This window comes from Homo sapiens, chromosome 20, assembly GCF_000001405.40.
Source record: "Homo sapiens chromosome 20, GRCh38.p14 Primary Assembly".
NCBI classification, from domain to species: domain Eukaryota; kingdom Metazoa; phylum Chordata; class Mammalia; order Primates; family Hominidae; genus Homo; species Homo sapiens.
Genome location: NC_000020.11, coordinates 62,603,555 through 62,623,076, shown reverse-complemented (window position 1 = coordinate 62,623,076; position 19,522 = coordinate 62,603,555). Strand labels below are relative to the sequence as shown.

Here is a 19,522-nt window from a genome sequence, read left to right as displayed (position 1 = left end):
GGGGAGCGTCACACGGCAGGCACTGTTGAGGCCGCCTCCCCTGGTGACCGAGTGGCGTCCCCGGGAGGTGACCGCCCAGGAGGCAGCACCAGCCTGCCTGGCACTTACATGGCCCCAACCCAACCAGTTGGGCCGTCGCAAGGGCCAGCACCCAGGCAGCACTGGGCCTCGGCTTGTTCACCTGTAAAGCGGGGGACACCAGGACTGTGAGGAGCAGGGGGACGACTCTATAGAGAGCCCAGAGCAGCGTGAGCCGTGGGCCAGGGCTGCCTCCGGGCCGGACTCCCACGGTGGCTTCTAAGTTAGAAACATGCAGGAGACCACGTCGTTTCCTGCTGGGAACCTCCCGAGGCTCCTGGGGCCTCAGAGTGAGACCTGCACTCCTTTTCTCGAAGGCCGGGTGAGTTTCGGGGGCTGCAGTAACAGCCCCAGCGAAGGGCCGACACAGCTCACAGGTCACCTTACAGTTCTGGAGGCAGAGGACTGAACTGGGGCACCAGGAGCCAGCAGGAATGAGCTCCTTCCGGAGGCTTTAAGGCAAAATCCATGTCCCTGTCTTTCCCACCTGCATTTCCTTGGCTCAAGCCCTTGCTTGCAGCCCTCAGACCTCTACGCCCCTCCTCTGCCTCGGACCTCTACGCCCCTCCTCTGCCTCGGACCTCTACGCCCCTCCTCTGCCTCGGACCTCTACTCCCCTCCTCTGCCTCGGACCTCTACTCCCCTCCTCTGCCTCCGACCCTCCTGCCTCCTTCCTAGATGGCCCTGGTGATTATACTGGGCTCACCCGGATAATTCAGGCTCCTCTCCCATTCTAAGGTTCTGAACTCCTTTGCCAAGTAAGGTGACAGTCACAGACTTGGGGGATTAGGACATGGTTGTCACGGGGGCTGCCATCCAACCTGCCTGGAGGGCATTCCTGCTCGGAGGACCTCCTCCCGTGCGTGGTCTCCCCTGATGCTGGCTTTTGCCCCCATGGTCTCTGCTTCCCAAAGCTTTCCCTCCGCCTCAGCCCCAGCTGTCCTCCCCACTCTCAGGGTCCTGGCCCCAGGTCCTTTCCCCAGAGGCCAGCCTGGCTGCCGGGACTGCTCCCATGAGCTCCTTGTCAATGCAGTGTCTGTTGGCCTGCAATCCACCCTTTCCCCATAGACTGAAGTGGCACCCAGGCAGGACAGCCCCCCTCATCCCCGAGGAGTGCCAGGGTTGGGGCACGTGTGCCAAGGAGCCCAGACCTGCCCAGAGCCAGACCGGCTCCTCTTCCTGCCCCTGGGTCACGGCTGCCCTGAGTTCTCCAGGCTGGGGTGAGCTCCGCGTCTCAGCCGTGCTCGGGAGCAGGGCACTCAAAGCTTTTGTCACAGTTTTCTGTCTGTGGATTCATTCTTTCATCTGGTTTCTTGGGCTTTGACTTCATCCTAGCACTGGGACGCGGTGCAGCCAGACAGGGTCCTTCCCGACGCCACAGATACCACGGGTGAGACAGCCACGGAGGCACAGCCACACAGGCGTGGTCGCAAGCCAGCATGGTGTGTGTTTGGGAGCATTTGGCTGTCACAGGCTCTGACCTCGGCAGGGCCAGGGGCTTCCTGGGAACATGACTCTGAGCCGGGATCTGAGGATTAGCAGGTCCTGCCCAGTCGAGGGAGGGCGGGGCATGGTGAGCGGCCGAGCAAGGGCCCCGTGGCAGGAAGGAGCTGGACACACACAGAAAAATGCCAGGGGGTAGTAGGAGGGCATCGGGGTGGGGAGGCGGACCGTGTGGGTGATGCCAGGCTGGCCGGCGGGGATCGGGGTGCGCAGGACCTGCCAGGCTGCGACCCCAGGGCAGCGGAGGCACGGGAGGGGTGGAGGGGGAGGCACGGGAGGGGTGGAGGGGGAGGCACGGGAGGGGTGGAGGGGGAGGCACGGGAGGGGTGGGGGAGGCACGGGAGGGGTGGAGGGGGAGGCACGGGAGGGGTGGGGGGAGGCATGGGAGGAGTGGAGGGGGAGGCACGGGAGGGGTGGGGGAGGCACGGGAGGGTAGGGGAGGCACAGGAGGGGTGAGGGAGGCACCGGAGGGGTGGGGGCACAGGGTCTGCCTCTTGCACTTGAGTGCTCTTCCCCCCACCCCCAGGCCTGGACGTGGGCGGTGACGGCTTTTGCATGGGTCCTCCGGGCAGCAGGCAGGGCTTGCACAGGGGTATGGGGCTTGGGAGGGGCATGGTGCTGCCATCTGTCCAGAAGAGGGGTCTAGGGCGAGCAGAGCCCCCCGCCCCCCGAGTGCTAACAGCCTCCTGGGGAGGAGACTCTGTGCCCACAAGGGCCTGGACGCCTGGGCTCAGTCAAGTCCGCCCCTCATGGTGGGGCTTCCCAGGCTCTTGTGCCCTCGGTGTGCAGTGCCCACCTGATCCTTCGCTCGCCCAACCTCAGAGCCCCTGCTTCTCCCACAGACACTGATAACACTCATCTCGTGGCTGTCAACCCAGAAGGGATGCCTGCAGGTGGGGGCCAGCAATGAGGCCTTCGAAACCCCAATGCCATGACTCTGTGGGGGATTTGGCACAGAGGGTTTTATTGTATTGTCTTAAAAATTTAAAACCAATACCCATTTCCATTATTAAAAACTTTCAAGTTTGTTTGAAACAATTTGGGTGACAATATACTTTTTTACTCTACATTTTATTAAATCTAAATACAATCAAGGATTTCTGATAAAAATTTAGTGTCTGATTGAGATGGTCTATAAGTGTAAAACAAACACTAGATTTTAAAGACTTAGTAGAAAAAAGGGAGAGTAAAATCACTCTTTAATAATTCTTTAGGCCAGGCATGGTGGGTCATGCCTGTGATTCCAGCACTCTGGGAGGCCAAGGCAGGTGGATCACCTGAGGTCAGGAGTTCGAAACCAGCCTGGCCAACATGGCGAAACCCCATCTCTACTAAAAATACAAAAATTAGCTGGGCATGGGGTGGCACACGCCTGCAATCCCAGCTACTCGGGAGGCTGAGGCAGGAGAATCACTTGAACCCGGGAGGCAGAGGTTGCAGTGAGCCGAGATTGCGCCACTGTGCCCCAGCGTGGGTGACAGAGCGAGACTCCATCCCTCAAAATAATAATTCTTTGTATTGATTATCCAAGTGATAATATTATGGCTCTATTGGATTTAAATAAAAATAGTATTGGCTGGGTGCCGTGGCTCATGCCTGTAATCCCAGCACTTTGGGAGGCCGAGGCGGGCGGATCACCTGAGGTTGGGAATTCGAGACCAGCCTGACCAGCATGGAGAAACCCTGTCTCTACTAAAAATACAAAATTAGCTGGGCGTGGTGGCGCATACCTGTAATCCCAGCTACTTGGGAGGCTGAGGCAGGAGAATAGCTTGAACCTGGGAGCTAAAGTTTGCAGTGAACCGAGATTGTGCCATTACACTGCAGCTGGGGCAACAAGAGCGAAACTCCGTATCAAAAAATAAATAAATAAATAAAAAAGTATTAAAATTAATCTCATTTGTTTATTTTCCCTTTTGTCAGTATGGCTGCCAGCACAGGTAAACTTACATGCGTGGCTTTGCTACATTTTTACTGGACTCTGCTCTTCTAGATGCTCAGAACTCTTCGAAGCCTGCAGGTTTGAACACACCACCTAGCAGAAGCTCGGAAAGGGCGGCTTGCAGCCACACAGCTCCGCAGCTCCATTATCTGGTGCCCAGCAGGGGAGGGGGTGTGGCGTGTGAGTGGGCATGAGCGTGCACAGGTTTGTCGGCGTGTGTGTCTCTGTTTGGGGGGACTGTGTGTGGGTGTCCATGTCACTCTTCTGAGGCAGGGACAGTCTGGGCCGTGGTTCCTAGGATGGGACCAGAGGCCTCTCATCTCGCGCCGAAGAAACCCTGCAGATGAACAATCTGGTCTGGCATTTCAGAGACAGAGTGGCCCATCCCCCGACTGGCCCAGCATTTTGGGGATAGAGTGGGCTGTCTCCACTGACCCCCCGCTTTGTGGAAGGAAGCTCTGCTCACCAGCCAGGGGGCAAGAGGAGACGCTGCTCCCCGTGCAGAACCGGGGGCTGCTTTAGGTTCTTGGGTAGTGGGGCCCAGCCTGGAAGCTTCCTCTTTCTCTGGCCCCACAGTCAGCCCACACAGGATGGAGCCTTCAGGGAGGTCCCTGGTGGTCCTCCAGCCCTGGTGAGTCAGGAGCGTTGGGCGGGAAGGTCGGTCTGTGTGGCTGACCTGACACCTCCACCTGGGTGCATTTACCCGGGGGAGAGAATTCCTCCCCTCAGAGCCCCGGGGAGGGGCTGGGCTCTGGGGTTGCTGGCTGCTCCTGGCCTTAGCTGCCCGTGTCAAATGCCACATCCTGGGACCTCGTGATCTCAAAATTACTCAGACCTGGGACCCCCTTGTACAGGAAACGGCAGGTCATGTGGGGTCACCGGGGTTTCACAGTGAACTGTCATGGGGAACCAGAGTGGAAATATTTGCAAAGCCATCATTCTTTTCTTAGACAAAATCTCCCATCTTCTGCATGGGTGGGGCAGTTTTCCAAGGCATGACCTACGGATGTGGAGGGGGTTGGGGTTGTGACCTTTGGCTGGGGGCAGGTGGGGGTCAGGTGTGAGGCCAGACCTAGGCCTGGCCTCGAGTCTCTGCCCTATGCCATCTGTAAAATGGGCCCACGGATCCCTCCAGCCTCCTGGTCTCTGGGGGAGAAACAGACGAACCCTGTGGGGCTCTCAGGGCTGGCCGTGCAGGAGACAGGTCCTAGTGGGGCACAAACAGGAAGCCTGCCTGGGGTAGTGTCGGCTGAGGAGCCGCCACCCCTTCCTCCTCGTGTCTCACAGTGGGCCTGGCAGGCCGATTCGGGGCCTTCCCGGAGCTGCAGAGCCCTGGCATTGCTGAGTCACATCCGAGAACAGGAGGGTGGAGAACTCCCAGGCGGGGACAAGTGTCCTCAGGGTCTGCTGTCCCGCTGTGTGCCCGGAATGGCCTGACCCACCCACCTCCGGCTTCTCTCCCGGTTGTCACGTGAGACTGTGAGACCCCAAGGAGGCGCCAATGGCTTTTATTTCATCAAAATCTCGTGGATTTCAAGAAAGCAGAAGACCTGGGCCACTGTGGGTGTCACCCCTCCGGGTGCCCAAATTGGCTTTTCCTGGAGCCCCTTCCAGCGCCTCAGCTGGGCTCTGGAGTGACACGCAGAGTCACAGGTGCCCCAGGCTCACATCTTCATTGCTCAGTGATGTCTTGGCCCCAGGCAAGGCTGGGCCCCTAGGTGGCCTTGGGGCAGGGGACCCCACTGACCTCACTGACCACTGCCTCCTGGGATCATCCCAGTATGTGCTGGTGACTTCTGCATATGCTGCGGGCATTTTTCTATGCATAGACATATTATATTTTTGAAAATATAAGAAGGAATAAAAGGAAACACTCACCCAGATCCAGATCTCTGTAACTGCTGCATAAGCTGCCCCAGGCACTGTGGGGGCCCACCTGGTTCCTGCTGCCCATGAGGGAAGGAGGTCACCTGCAGGCCCACCTGGCCATTTGTCAGTCTTGGGGGCAGAAAGCCAACACCCTCGGGGTCTCATGAGAGCAGGGAGGGCCTCTAGCAAAGCCGCAGCTGACCACGGCCACACTTGTGTCCCTCGGGGCTGGCTGGGATCCGCAGCCACTGCGTTGCCCCATGGGAGGGAAAGACTCTTGCGGGCCCCGCTCCAGGGACGATGTCTCCATAACTCGGTGTAACTGGGAACCATTGAATCAGAGCACTTCTTTTTAAACGGTTTTCAGTCATGCTTGAGGGAAGGAGCCTGTTCTTCCACCGGTAGGTACAGCTGCCAAAGCTGACATCTCAGGGTCTTTTTTTAAAAAGTCTTTCTCGTAACTCTAATCAGTTCTGCATGCAGGAAGTCCAATTGGGCCTCACGTCACCACCAAATGCGTGGGGTTCCGGGAGGCACAGAGGCCCCAACAGCCCAATCCCTGCGTGGGGTCCACTCCTCTCCCTGCGGGTGTGGACCTGTGAAGTCCCCGGGGCCTTCCCACTGGCCTCCCAGGCAGTGCCTCTCCTGGCCATGAGAGGGCAGCCTCGCCCCTGCTGAGCCCAGGCACCCAGCGACCCCAGCTGGAATCTGCTGCTGTGTGGATGTCCGTCGGCCCCTGCTGGGAGCCCTCCTGGGACTCCTCGGAAACCAGCATCTCTGAGGAGGAACAGGAAGGTCTCTGATGAGCTATAGTCCCCACGGCCCTTGATGGGCACCCTGAGCAGGGTGGAGCAGCGGGGTGGATAGATTTGGGATCCCAGAACACTAAGGTGCAGGGAAGCTCAACTTCAGCATCTACCTGCAAGCTCCAGGTGCAGAGGTCAGAGGAGGCCCCCAGCACACGGGTAGGGGAGGCCCAGGTGCCTCTAATCAGTTCTGCATGCAGGAAGTCCAACTGGGCCTCACATCGCCACCAAATGCATGGGGATTACAGACGTGTGCCACCACGCCCTGCTAATTTTTGTATTTTTAGTAGAGACAGAGTTTTGCCATGTTGGCCAAGCTGGTCTCAAACTCCTGACCTCGGGTGATCTGCCTGCCTCAGCCTCCCAAAGTGCTGGGATTACAGGCTTCAGCCACCACCGCGCCTGGCCGGAAATACATTTTCTTTCCTTTTAAAAAACCAACACAAGTTCATTATAGAAGTTTAGAAAATAAGAATAAGTCAAGAGGCTGGAATAAAAGTTGCTTCTAATCCCACAGACCCTGAAAGATGGGGGCACTGGTTACCCAGGTGAATGAACAGCCTTACCACCATTTGAAACCATGACAGCATGTTTAGATTCTACTCATCACTTTGCCCCCTACCCACCAAAGGCCAGGACCCCTAACCCAGGAGGGCAGGAGAAGGGGGACTCCCTGACCAACTGGAATCTTGGGGGTAAGGGGCAAATGAAAGCATTGTTCATGCCTTTCAGAATGGGGACCCCTCCTCACTCTTACCCACCACGATCCCCAAGAGATCCAAGCCCAGCCCCAGGCAACGTGCCGGGTCGGCTGGTCGGTCTCTACTCTGCAGCCCCCATGATGTGACAGCGACCTGAGCCCGCACAGTGCTCAACATGTGATCGAGTGAAAGATCATAAAACACGCACCACGTTGGCTCATTTGACAGACATGTGCAGCATGAACATTATAAACACACTGGCGTGATGCAGATTCATGGCCTACACAGACAACAACATGCAGGAACATGTACACAGACAACAACACACAGAAACAACATGTACACAGACAACAACATGCAGAAACATGTACACAGACAACAACACACAGAAACAACATGTACACAGACAACGACACACCAAAACATGTACATGGACAACAACACACAGAAACACGTACATGCAACCGCTACCACCACCCACCATCTGAACTTTCATCATCCCAAACGGAGGCTCTGTCCCCATGAAACAGCAACTCCCTGCCACTCCTACCCCCACTCTACTTTCTGTCTCTACGCGTGTGGCCACTCTAGGAACCTCGTACGAGTGGAGGCACGCAGGACCTGTCTTTCTGTGTCTGCTTATTTCACTCAGCACAGTGTCCTCCGGGGCCGTGCAGTTCGTAGCCGGTGTTAGCAGTCCCTTCTTTTTTAAGGCTGAGTAATATTCCGTTGTGTGAATAGACCACATTTTGTTCATCCACCGAGGGGCGCTTGGTGGCTTCTACCTTTGGGCTACTGTGACTAAGGCTACTGGGAACACAGGTGTACAAGTGCAGAGCCAGCTTTCAGGTCTTCGGCCACATACCCGGTTTCCAGAAGCGGCACTGCTGAATCCCAAGGTGATTCTACTTTTGATTTTTGAGGACGTGCCACGCCGTTTGCCAGTTTGGCCTGTTCTGTGCTTCCGCTGGGCAGAGTCACTCAGTTCGCGTCGTGCGTGCCAGGCTGTCTCACGAGACGTTAGGTTGCGAGATGCATCCAGGTTGTTGAGCACAGCTGAGGCTGCTCCTTCACGGGGCCATAGTGCATGGCAGATCCCACAGTGTATTTACTCACACGAAATGGTTGGCAGGCGTCTGGGCTGCTTTCAGCTTGAGATAATTATGACCGGGCGCTGTCAACTCTCTAGCACACACATTTTGGGAACGACGTATGTGCTTCTGATGGACTCGGTGGTGCAGGGCGTGCACGTGCCTCAGCTGGATGTTCATAATCTCCATCCAAGCCAAATGCTCTTGGAAAGAGGCCGTGTCTGCTTGGTTGTATGCAGTAACAATAACAAGGTTAACAATGGCCACGCGCATTTATCGGACGCTTCCTTCGTGAGCGGTGACCCTATGATAACTCGTATGAACCTCACACCAGACACTACCATGTCCCACATTCGAGATTAGGATAAAACAATGAGGAGCCGTGGCTGCCCGGGTCCCATCGCCAGTGAGCGTAGAGCTCGCACTCAAACGCAGGCAGACGCCAGCAACTGCTGCACACAGTCTTCCTCCACGTCTGAAAGGTGGCTGAGCGAGGCCGGCCACGCTCCTGCACCTCTCCGTCACTCGCACGACCTTTTTAACAAATCAGTTTTAGCTGAAAAAAAAAATGGTGATGGCAGCTGCCCCTGCCACCCTGCTGCTTCTGCCTCCTCCGCTGCACCCAGGGCTCACTGGGTCTGGTGGCCACTGGCAGAGCGTGCAGCCTTCCCCGGGCTCTGCACTTGCTTGTGAGTCCCAGGATACCCCTCCCACAGGATGCTTCGAAATTACTGTGGAGAGCGATCCACGGGACAAAATCAGTGGGGATGGAAGGTGGTGAGTCAGCATGTTAGATAAGAAACTGACCCGCTTCTCTAGTAATCTCTTCTGATTGACAGCAAGAAAGTTCACATGGTCCCTCAGTTCCCCAGAGAGTGTTTTTGGGGAGAACCAGGACTCGCATGCCCTTCATCACCTACTTCTTTAATTCTTCACCTTCTTTCTTACAGAATAGTACACACGTGATGTTCACCATTTGTGCAACTCTCTTTTATTCTACGTGTCAGCCTAGCCTGGACACCATTCCATGTCAGTGAATAACATGTCAATGAATATTCTACAACACTTTCAGTGGCTGCGTGCCTTTCTACCATGATTTATTTAACTTTTGAGACCGTTTCCAGCTTTTCGTATTATATGTAATGACTGTTCTTCCATGCAAATTTTTGTGCAGAGACTCATCCTCTTAGGACACATTTTAATGAGTTTTATTGGGATTGGGTACATTGTTCCAGAATGCACCATTGCCCCCACCCCCATCCCCAAGAAGATGTGCCCATTTATTTCTGCTAGCAGGTATTTTCCCAATTCTTAGGCCAGAATTGGTTTTACAATTTAAAATGGTATTTGCTAGTTTGACAGAAGATAAATTGAATATCACGGATGCTTTCATTGCATTTCTTTGATTCAAGAGAAGTCAGGCATTTGTCATAAGCTTATTGGTTAGAGTGTAATTGGCAAATATGCCTGTTCACGTCTTTTGCCCATTTTTCTAGGGGTGGGCTTGTCTTTTAAAAACTATATTGCTTTATGAGAACACAATTAACTCTTTGTCTGTAATGTCTATTGAAAATATGTTCTCTTAGTTTGCCATTTGCTTTTAATTTTGGTTTATGGTATCTCTAACTATACAGATGCTTTTAATTTTCATGTAGTCAAATATATCAATCTTTTCCTTTGTGATGCTTGGAAAGGCCTCACTCATTTCAGGGCCATAAAATGATCTATATTCATTCCAGTTATTAAACTGTCAGTAGATTTAGGTACGTGGTGACATAAGACTTCTCATCTCCACTTCAAATAGCTCATTTCAATAATTGGTCGAGTGAGTAGAGATCACAGATGGAATATAATTATATGGTTTGAAAATGGATAGAAGTGGATATTTCCTGTATATTTCCAAGGAACTCCCCTCATACAAACTTGTGAGTCTCCTGTCCGTGGGGAGGACTGTTTTTCCTCTATCAGTCACCTCTCCGTCCACTGGGACATGACTTCCTGAGGCCTGGGGCCAGTTTCAACCACTGCTGACCCCGGAGTACAGACTCCTGATCTTGCTGAGGATCTGCTGGACAAGCAAAAGTGATACCCAGGGAATATTACTCAGCCACAAAAAAAGAATAAAATCCTGTCATTTGCAGCAACACAGATGGAACTGGAGGCCATTATGTTAAGTGAAATAAGCCAGGCACACAAGGACAAATATCGCACCCTCTTACTCACACATGGGAGTGAAAAAAAGCGGGTCTTGCTGAGGCAGAGAGAAGACTGATGCTTACCAGAGGCTGGGAAGGGGAGGGGAAGGGGAGATGAAGAGAGGCTGATTCACGAGGGCAAACACCCAGTTCGATAGAAGAGAGAGGACCCAATGTTTGACAGATCACTAGGGTGACTATAATTACAATCAGCTATTGTCTATTTCAAAATAACTAGGAGAGAATCATTCTAAATTGGACAAATATTTAAGCTGATGGATATCCCAATTACACTGATTTAACCTTTACAAATTACATGACTGGATTAAATTATCACACGTACCCTGAAAATGTGTACATCTATTATGTATCAAAGATTTTTAATTAAAAAATTTAAAAAGCACAGAGAGAGTGTCCCCTAGATATGGGGGGTGCAGGTGTGATGATTCCTTTGGGAGACACCCCGTGCTTGTGTCTGCTCATGTTGCGTTTGGACGTCAGCACGCGAGGGGCCTGGGGTAGGGTGGGTGTCCCAGGGAGGATCTCCGACGAGGCTGCCCAAGGCCCCCTGTGCCTGGAGGTGCTGTTGAGGGGAGCGTACCTCTTCACTGCTCACAGCACACGGGCAATAGAGAGAAGATCTGACTTGTGGAATTTCATCAATCACGACTATTTTAGTTTCAAGGGTTGAAAATTGATTAAAGCTGGAGCCATCATGCATCGTATGGATCCAGGAGGCCCATCTCTCCTCTCTCTCAGGCGTGCTCCCTCCCAGACCCGCGTGTCAGCAGTTTTCCGGGAAAGCAATCTTTTTATGTGTAGCATTGCCGCGGTGGATTACTGTAATGACGCTGTCTGGCTGGTCTGCGGGCAGCTGCCAGCCTGGTGGGGCGGGAGCTGGAAGGAGGGCATCTGCAGGCCCCTCCGCCTGTGCTCTGCGACTCGGGCTGGGAATTCGGGAGTTCGTTCTCCCTCCTGAGCTCCTTCAGGGAGGCGGTGGTCCTTCCAGGGCCTCTTAGTTGGACGGCCGCTCAACCTGCCCATTTTCCCACCTGAACTGTTGATCTCGCCAGTATTTCTCCGTGTGTTTGGCCTAGGTTTGCACTGGCATTTGACACGCCCAGGGACAGGGGGCCTTTGAAAAAGATATTTTCTCCTTAATGGACATTTCACCCAAAATGATTCCCTGTCAAGGGCTCCACCTTTGTCAAAGTCTTCTTCCTTTTACCTGTAGTATAAGTTTTGTTGGCATGTTTCTCTCCACAGAGTCACTGGGAAACGAGAGCACACTCCCGGGTGGACTCTCAGCCACGGTTCTCCCCTCCCCACGGCAGCAGCATGTTCCCACACCCTCGCGTGGGACCTCAAGGCAAGAAGAGTCTTCTTCCACCTCCTGGACTTGAGCTCCACCACATAACTTCCATTGGCCAATGGGATCTTGGTGAACATGGCACAAGTGAAGGTTTGAATTGCACATGGGCAGTCAGGCTATGTTCTGGCACTTCCGTCCTCACCATGGCAGGAACTGGCCCCAGGCAGCCTGCTGGTCCCAGGAGGACAAGAAACAGCAAGCAGAGCAGACCCTTGCCCACAGCCAGAACCAGCTGGATCAGCCCGTGGACATGGGACTCAGAAAGAAATGTTGTCTACTGTCTGCAGCTGATTGTGGCTGTTTGTTACACAGCTGTAGCTGACTGATACAATAAGGAACTCAGGTGACAGTGTCTGGTGTTGATCTTATTGGTTGATCTCCCAAATATCTTTGGTGTTCTTCATTCCCCATCTCTGTCACCCTTCCCAGGTTCAAGCCATCACCTTATAGAACAGTAACAGCCTGATACTCCCTGCACCCTGGAGCATCCCTGCTTCCTTCCCAGCCAGCCCCTCCAATCCAGTCCCTTCTAGCATGGAGCCCCTTGATAGCTCTCTCCTGCTCTTAGAAACCGACCAGACCCCTCTCCAGGTCTCCAGCCTCCTGCCCCTCCCACCCCCGTACCATGTACGTTTTAACCACAGCAACATCCACGCCATGCTCTTCCCTCCCAGACAATCTCCAGTCATCCTCCAGTCTCAGCTAAAATGTCACCTCTTCCAGGAAGCCCTCTGGTTAAGCCCAGACTCTCTGTCATATTCTAAGCACTTATCATGTTGCATGTTCTGTTAGTGGGTGATCATCTGATTCAAGCTGGCCTCACCCACTGGACAGTGGCCCATGAGTGGGGACCCTGCCTTCTTGCTCATCTTCATATCCCCACACCCAGACAGGACCTGGCCTAGCACTGGCACCCCATGGAGAGCTGACAAATGGACAGACGGTCCAGATGGCCAGTGAGGGACAGCAGGGCAGCCCTGTGGCTCTCTGCTTTCAAGGGGTGTGGCAAAGAGTCCTGGGTGGAGCTCAGCCAGTAGCCTCTCCCATGAGGTCCTGGAAATTGCTAGAAGCCTGGCGGAGGCACATTCAGCACAATGGAGGGATGCTGCTGGAAGCCAGGGGGCAGCTCAGACTGGCGCACCCTCTGCCCCAATCTGTTCCATCTGCCCCAGCTGGGGTCCTGATGATTCTGGGGGTCTGTAGGATGCTGACCCTGAGCCCCCGTCATCTGACTCTGAGGGCCGTGCTTGGGAGATGAGCTCGAGAAATCTCAGCGGCCGCCTCTGAATTTAGCCTTGGAGGGTGCAGGGTGCTCCACGCCTCCCTCCTCTGCCAGGGCCCGTGGGCAGTGTTGCTGGCCAGCCACAGCCCGGGACATTCTTCCAGCAGGGCGGACAGCAGGCGGCCCCCACAGCAGGGCGGGCAGCAGGCGGCCTCCACAGCATTTCCATCCTGGTTTTCTGCTGATCCTGTTAGATCTTTCTGGGATTTCCAGGCTCCCTTCACACAGAGGAAGGAGCTGGCCTGGGACCTACGACAGGACCTCCTGGCACTGGGGCTGCACCGGCATCCCGGGCCCCTCGCTGGCCTGTGGCCCCTCACGCCAGCAGGCCTGTTCCTGCCGGGAGTTCATGCTCCTTCCAGCTTCTGTTTACCTGGAGAGACCTCTTAATGCCCCGGGGTGGGGAATGCCACCCCCCAAGTCCCCAGCCTCTGCATTTCCTCTCTGCCTGTCCCCTGTGGCTCTTCTGTACCTGGTGGGGCAGAAGAGGGACAGTTGTCCCCTGCGGGATGGGAACATTGCCTCCACAGTGGGCAGCTCCTTGTTGCTCAGCGTCTCCCCCACCAAGTCCGTCAGCGGTTCAAGGCCTTGGTTTCTCCCAATCCCGTATCTGCACCCAGGCTTGCCAGCATTATTGCTCAAAGCCAGGGCTGGGGGTGTCCCTGATGTCACACACATCCTCCCCCATGTCACTCCCACACAGCAGCTGCCAGGAGCCTCTGACTTTTAAAAAGCTCATCTTCATCATGGCTGCGGGGTCTTACATGGGGATTCTGAGCCCTTGCTGCCCGCGCAAAAACACCAGCGTCCACTCAGCCAGCAGGCCAGTTAAACCCAGGGCTGGGCGGGGCATTTTCCACTCTGGGACTTCATCATTGCCATCAACTGCTCTTGGCTCTCTAATAAAACCATGGAACCCAGGCACGGTGGCCACGTGCCTGTCAAACCTGCTTCCTCATCTCCTTCCAGGGTTCTGACCAAAATGTGAACAAGTAAATTAAATTAAAGTGCAGTTCGTTTCTGAAAAAACATTATTTTCCTCAATGAATGTTCAAATTGTGTTTTATTTTCCTCTTTTTAAAATACTTTTTTTAAAGAATTGTTTTAGGCCGGGCATGGTGGCTCATGCCTGTAATCCTAGCACTTTGGGAGGCTGAGGTGGGCGGATCACTTGAGGTCAGGAGTTTGAGACCACCTGACCAACATGGTGAAACCCCGTCTCTACTAAAAATACAAAAATTAGCCGGGTACTACTCAGGAGGCTGAGGCAAGAGAATCGCTTGAACCCGGGAGGCAGAGGTTGCAGTGAGCCGAGATCACACCACTGCACTCCAGCCTGGGTGACAGAGCGAGACTCTGTCTCAAAAAAAAAAAAAAAAGAAAAGAAAAAGAGAAAAAAAAGCCAGGTGCAGTGGCTCACGCCTGTAATCTCAGCACTTTGGGAGTCTGAGGCGGGTGGATCACCTGAGGTCAGGAGTTTGAGACCACACTGGCCAACATGGTGAAACCCCATCTCTACTAAAAATACAAAAATTAGCTGGGCGTGGTGGTGAGCGCCTGTAATCCCAGCTACTCGGGAGGCTGAGGCAGGAGAATCACTTGAACCCGGGAGGCGGAGGTTGCAGTGAGCTGAGATCGTGCCATTGCACTCCAGCCTGGGCTACAAGAGTGAAACTCCATCTCAAAATAAATAAATAAATAAATAAATTGTTTTAAATTTACGAGACAGTTGCAAAGATAGTTCAGAGAGCGCCACACACCCACGCCCAGCCCCCCGGGGTGCTAAGGTCTCACGTCACAGGCGACATTGGTCACGGCCAGAGTGCCAGCATTGTCCACGGCAAGGAGCCGGATGCTGCACTTCCCTGACGCCCTCCTGTCCCAGGGCCCCGTCCAGGACCCCAGGAAACATTTGCTCCTCACTCCGTGGGCTCCTCTAGGCTGTGGGTTTCTCAGACTCGCCTTGTTTTTCATGACCTTGGCGGTTTTGAGGACTGGTCAGGACCCTGGTGGAATGGCCCTGGGTCTTCCCAGTGTTGTGCCTTTTCAGCTGCCTGGTGGGAGCCTCCTGAGGGTCCCCTGCATGGCCATGCTGCCCCCCATGGAACCCGAACACCGGCAGGTCTCCAGGGCATGGTAGCTGGCCAAGGACTTAAGATTAGAAAGGTGTTGCCATGGCCTGATTTCTCCGAAGGGTCCCATCTAGTTTGCCTTGTCCTTGCAGGCTGGCCTCTCCCAGTGCCAGGACAGCAGCAGCAGGACAGCAAGCAGCAGGACTGGAAAGAACCGAGCCTACTCCTCACTTCCAGGCATGGACTCGCCCGCCTCACCGGGTCACGGGCCCGACCCCCGACCATTCACTGCAGCTGGGCAGCCTCATCCGGAACACAGAGGGATGGAACAGGGCAGGGCTGGGTCCCCAAGGCAGGACTGGGGCCACCACCTCAACAAGGGGTCCCTCCGCAGTGTCCCAACAGACACCATCTCCCTGCTGGCCTGAGGATTCTGGAACTCGGCTGGGAATGGCCCCAAGAGGAGGAGGTGTTCTTGAAACATCTTTTCGAGGTTTATGAGACATTCTATTAGCCCAGCCTCAGACAACTGTTCGTGGGAGATGCAGCATGTGCACCCCTGCGATAATTTTCTAGGCAAGAGGCAATAAAAAGAAGTGGACTCTAACACGAAGGCACTGCCGCCTTGGTTTGAAGGTTTAAGGCAGGCCCTATATTTGGGGGCCAAGAGACAGTGAGCACATAAGCATTTAATCGGCAACATGGGCAAGGATCATTTCAGAGCGTGCTATATAGACAAGACCCACTTTAATCTATTGGAAACTTGTTTCAGGAGGTGACAGTTTGCTCGTTCCCTTAAACGCTATTTAAAGAGGAAACCAAATTATCTAAAATCGGTGTGGACAGTGGTGGACACACAGCTGACCCTCTCTGTCCTCAGTTTGCAAATACATAGGATTCTGGCTGGGGCGCAGCTCGAGACTAGCCCACGATGGCGACGTGGCAAAGAGGTTTCCAGGTGCAGCCTTCACGGGGCGTGGGTCACATATGAGGGGGCCAGACTCTGGGTCAGCCATTCGTGCACAGGTGCTTTGATCTTCGCAGCTGGTGCAGATATTATCGCCCCGCCCCCGCCCCGTCTCCCAGTTTGGGATTCCAGATTCCCCAGGGAGCGAGAGCTGGCAGCCCGCCTCTGCAGCAGCCCCGTGGGCAGGGCCAGGTGGGGACAGTGTGTGCGCTGCAGGTGCAGAGTCCCCAGGGAGGCCCCGTGGTGTAGCAAGGAAGCTGCTGCATGTGGCTGTGTGGGGGCACTGGCTCTGTGGAAATGGGCACTGCCTGGCCTGGAGCCCAGCACCCCCTGCACCCCTCTAGCCACAGAGGCAGCCGTGCTGGGGCCCTGCCAGCAGCTGAGTAAAACTGCTAATGAAATAGCACCGTTAAAAATGGGCCTGCCGTCCACGCCAGAGTGCTTCGCTGGCCCCCAGCCCAGTGCTCCCTAGCACGGGGTCAGGGTGTGGGTCCCCAGGGAGCAGCTACAGCTGAACACTGCCCCCGCCTCGCCTGGAATGTGGTCCATTCGGCCTCGCGGCCGTTTGCTGTTTGCCTCGCGGCCGTTTGCTGTTTGCCTCGCGGCCGTTTGCTGTTTTCATGCTCTTTCTCCATCCAGGGGGTTTCTTGATGCCAGGAATTTCACCAGCTTTGGCCCCTTCCTCTCCTCCCTTCCTGCCTTCCTCTCCCTTCCTCCCACCTCCAGCAGCGTCTTTTTCTCCTTTCAGAATTTCAGATGGTGTCTTCCATTTGCATTAAAACCAAACAGTTTAATCATCATATTTAAATAAAGGCGTTGCCTGGAACTGCTCTCTTCCTTAATAATGAACCTTGGCATGAGGAAGGAGCCTCTATTTGTATTTTTAAAATTGCTTTTACAAGGTGTGGGGAGGGCCCTTCTGGAAGGAGAACTTTCTTTGCTATTTCTGAATGAGGAAGAGTTTGCATTTCTCTGGGTTGCCCGGCCCAGTTGTTCGTGTTGTCTTGGAGTAACACGGGGAACAGCTGTTCATGATAAATGTGTTGCTCACATGGCCTCAGTGGTCCCCACCAGTGGCTTCTGGGTATTTAGCATGGCCTGGAGGCCTTGAGTTACGAGGGCTCCCCTGTGGGCTCTGCTTTGTGCACCACTGAGCTTCAGGAAGCCGCTGTGAGGTGTCAAGCCATGCCCCCTGCTCCCCCCAGCTCAGCACGTCCTGAGCCCCTGAAAACTCTCACCTTCTCCAGACAGACAGGACTTGCTGGCTGCTTTAGATACTAGTACAATATTGTGGATGGTCGGGGGGGTCCCCAGGAATGGCCAAGGGAAGGGGGTGTCCTTTAAACCCCTGAAGCTGGGTAAGGAGGCCTTTTAAAAAATAGGGCTGTTTACAGGGGGCAGGGCCAGCTGAGGCCTTGGACCTCCAGAGACACTTCCTCCCCCAACTTCCTCCACCCCCAGCCCCATGCCACCCATCAGGCCTGCTCTGGCCAAGGCCCTGCCTTTCACCCAGCTCCCTCTCCATCAGCCAGAGAAAGGATGCTAGAGAAAAGTGCACCTTCCCTAGAGAGGCTACAGGAAGATTCCCGGTCCCGGTCAGGTGGGCAAGTCTGGTGGGCAGTGCCAGCGGATGCAGGGCTGAGCTGCGCCTGGCAAGGGCCAGCCAAGTTCACGGAGGGTTGAGCTCAGCAGGCGCACCACAGGCCTGCCTGCTAGAAGAGGTCATTGCGGTGGTTTCTGTGGGTCCCCAAGGCTACAGGGGTGTGGGTGAGGCAGGAGGGTTGGGGGAAGGGGCAGGCTCTGACCTGGGGCACCGGCTGGGAGGGTATAGCAGTAGGTCGGCTCTGCTAGGAGTGTGTGCACTTTCTACACCTTCAGGTTCTGAGCAGCGAGTCCTGAGCCAAATCTTGTCTCTCAGGAAAACCTTGGAGGTGTCTGTGTGTGCATGGAGGTGGGGTGCACCTGCTCCCACAGGTGTATGCTCCCGGGGGGTCAGGGTTGGTGGAGCATCCAACCCTTGCTGAATGCAGACCTGGGACACTGAATGGGGCAGGAAGCCCCCGGCTGACCGGACTGCAGCAGAACTCGGGGCTGTTCTGGGGCTTGCCTCCCTCCCCTGCAGCAGACAGGGCTCCAAAGCTATGGGGCAGGTCCTGGCAGGTGATGGGGCAGGTCCCGGCAGGTGATGGGGCAGGTCCCGGCAGGTGATGGGGCAGGTCCCGGCAGGTGGCATGCACGGGTGGGCTGTGCATGACTCGGGGCCTTGCTGGGTGGCCACACGAGTGACTGGAGGCATTTTCAAAAGATGCCCCATGGGTCTCCCAGCCCCAGGCTCTTCTCTAGCATGACCAAGGCTGCTCCCATGGAGGGGTCTCTGTCCCCTCTTCTGGAATCTGAGGGCCTCGTGACTGTCGGAAAGGATGCCAGGTGGCTCCGCGTCTCGGCTTCCACCTCTCTCTCAAGTGCTGGCCTCGGGAAGCCCACCCATGTCACATGTGGGGCTGCCGGAGAGGCCCAGCCCGAGATCCCGGCTGCAGGTCCCACTGATGGCGGCATCGTCTGTAGGAGACTCCCTCTGGAGTCTCCAGGCTCTGGCCCCAAGGCTTCCCCGAGGAGGCTGCAGACCTTGGGGAGGAGGCCTGGGCCATCCCAAGTGGCCTGTCGGAGTCTCTGACTCACAGGCGCTGTGAGCAGCAAGCATGGTCGTCCCGCAGCCTAGGCCTGGGCGCCTATTGTGCATCCCAGAAGCTGGAACGCGTGCTGGGCACAGACAGCTCCTCAGAGCAGAGTGGCCAAGCTGTGGCACGTCTGGGGGCCGATCCCCGTAGGGCTGAGTCTGCCAGGGGCACCAGCCACAATCCTGAGTACTGATTATGCACTGGCTGAACAAGCTGTCCCCAGCGGCTCTGCTGTGGTTCTTTGGTTGAAGCAAACGCTGGCGCTGGGTCTCACCTGCCTCCACACTTGCCCTGGCTCCTGGAGGCTCCAAGGGATGGGGCATCTCGTGAACAGGTGGGGCCTGGGTCTGGCCAACTGTGTTTGCCTCTGGCGGTGGCCAGGTCCAGCACCAGCACTTTGCTCACTCTGGTCCCCAGAGGGCTGGGCAGGTGCTGCGGCAGGAGGTGCCCCTGACCGCGTGGCCTGCTGGAAAGGAGCCTCCCAGCTCAGCGGCAGCCGGAGACAGTGTCCAGAGTGCCCGCAGTGCCACCCGAGCTCAGAGCCTCTCCCAGCGCCAGCACGATCAGAGGATGCTTTAACCGAAGCCATTAAGCTGTCACGGCCCATCCGCCTCCCGCCCCTTCCTGTCAGTTACTGCAGGCGGGGGGGACGCGGGGGGCAGCAGCAGCGGGGTGGGGGGAGCCCCTCCGCTTCCCTGAGTCACCGCCATCCGGCCAGACTGCCCACCACCGGCTCTGAGCTCATCGGCTCTGCGGTCAATCACTTCCCTCTGGAGCTGGGCAAGGCACTGGGGAAACGTGGGCCTGAGCAGGACTTTGCAGCCAAGGCCACTGGACTAGCTTGAGAGTCCTGGGCAGCATCCAGGCACGGGCTCCAGGCCTTCTGCCCCAGCTCGAGGTGCCATAGCAGGTGCCTCTCATGGGATTGGGGCAAGTGGCACAGTCTTGAGGCTCCCCCAGTCAGAC

At 55.6% G+C, this 19,522-nt stretch overlaps 6 annotated features.

Annotated features, from left to right (window-relative positions):
• Positions 4,406-4,455: an enhancer, noted in NCBI's record as "active region_18207". NCBI's record gives its function as "activates an Ori minimal core promoter by ATAC-STARR-seq in GM12878 lymphoblastoid cells {active_cell/tissue: GM12878}" and the evidence as "EXISTENCE:reporter gene assay evidence [ECO:0000049][PMID:35858748]".
• Positions 6,123-6,272: an enhancer, noted in NCBI's record as "active region_18206". NCBI's record gives its function as "activates an Ori minimal core promoter by ATAC-STARR-seq in GM12878 lymphoblastoid cells {active_cell/tissue: GM12878}" and the evidence as "EXISTENCE:reporter gene assay evidence [ECO:0000049][PMID:35858748]".
• Positions 17,055-17,844: an enhancer, noted in NCBI's record as "H3K27ac-H3K4me1 hESC enhancer chr20:61202440-61203229 (GRCh37/hg19 assembly coordinates)". NCBI's record gives its function as "activates a minimal SCP1, AML or CMV promoter by ChIP-STARR-seq in primed H9 embryonic stem cells {active_cell/tissue: H9 hESC(primed)}" and the evidence as "EXISTENCE:reporter gene assay evidence [ECO:0000049][PMID:30033119]".
• Positions 17,845-18,635: an enhancer, noted in NCBI's record as "H3K27ac-H3K4me1 hESC enhancer chr20:61201649-61202439 (GRCh37/hg19 assembly coordinates)". NCBI's record gives its function as "activates a minimal SCP1, AML or CMV promoter by ChIP-STARR-seq in primed H9 embryonic stem cells {active_cell/tissue: H9 hESC(primed)}" and the evidence as "EXISTENCE:reporter gene assay evidence [ECO:0000049][PMID:30033119]".
• Positions 18,636-19,425: an enhancer, noted in NCBI's record as "H3K27ac-H3K4me1 hESC enhancer chr20:61200859-61201648 (GRCh37/hg19 assembly coordinates)". NCBI's record gives its function as "activates a minimal SCP1, AML or CMV promoter by ChIP-STARR-seq in primed H9 embryonic stem cells {active_cell/tissue: H9 hESC(primed)}" and the evidence as "EXISTENCE:reporter gene assay evidence [ECO:0000049][PMID:30033119]".
• Positions 19,168-19,317: a silencer, noted in NCBI's record as "silent region_13114". NCBI's record gives its function as "represses an Ori minimal core promoter by ATAC-STARR-seq in GM12878 lymphoblastoid cells {active_cell/tissue: GM12878}" and the evidence as "EXISTENCE:reporter gene assay evidence [ECO:0000049][PMID:35858748]".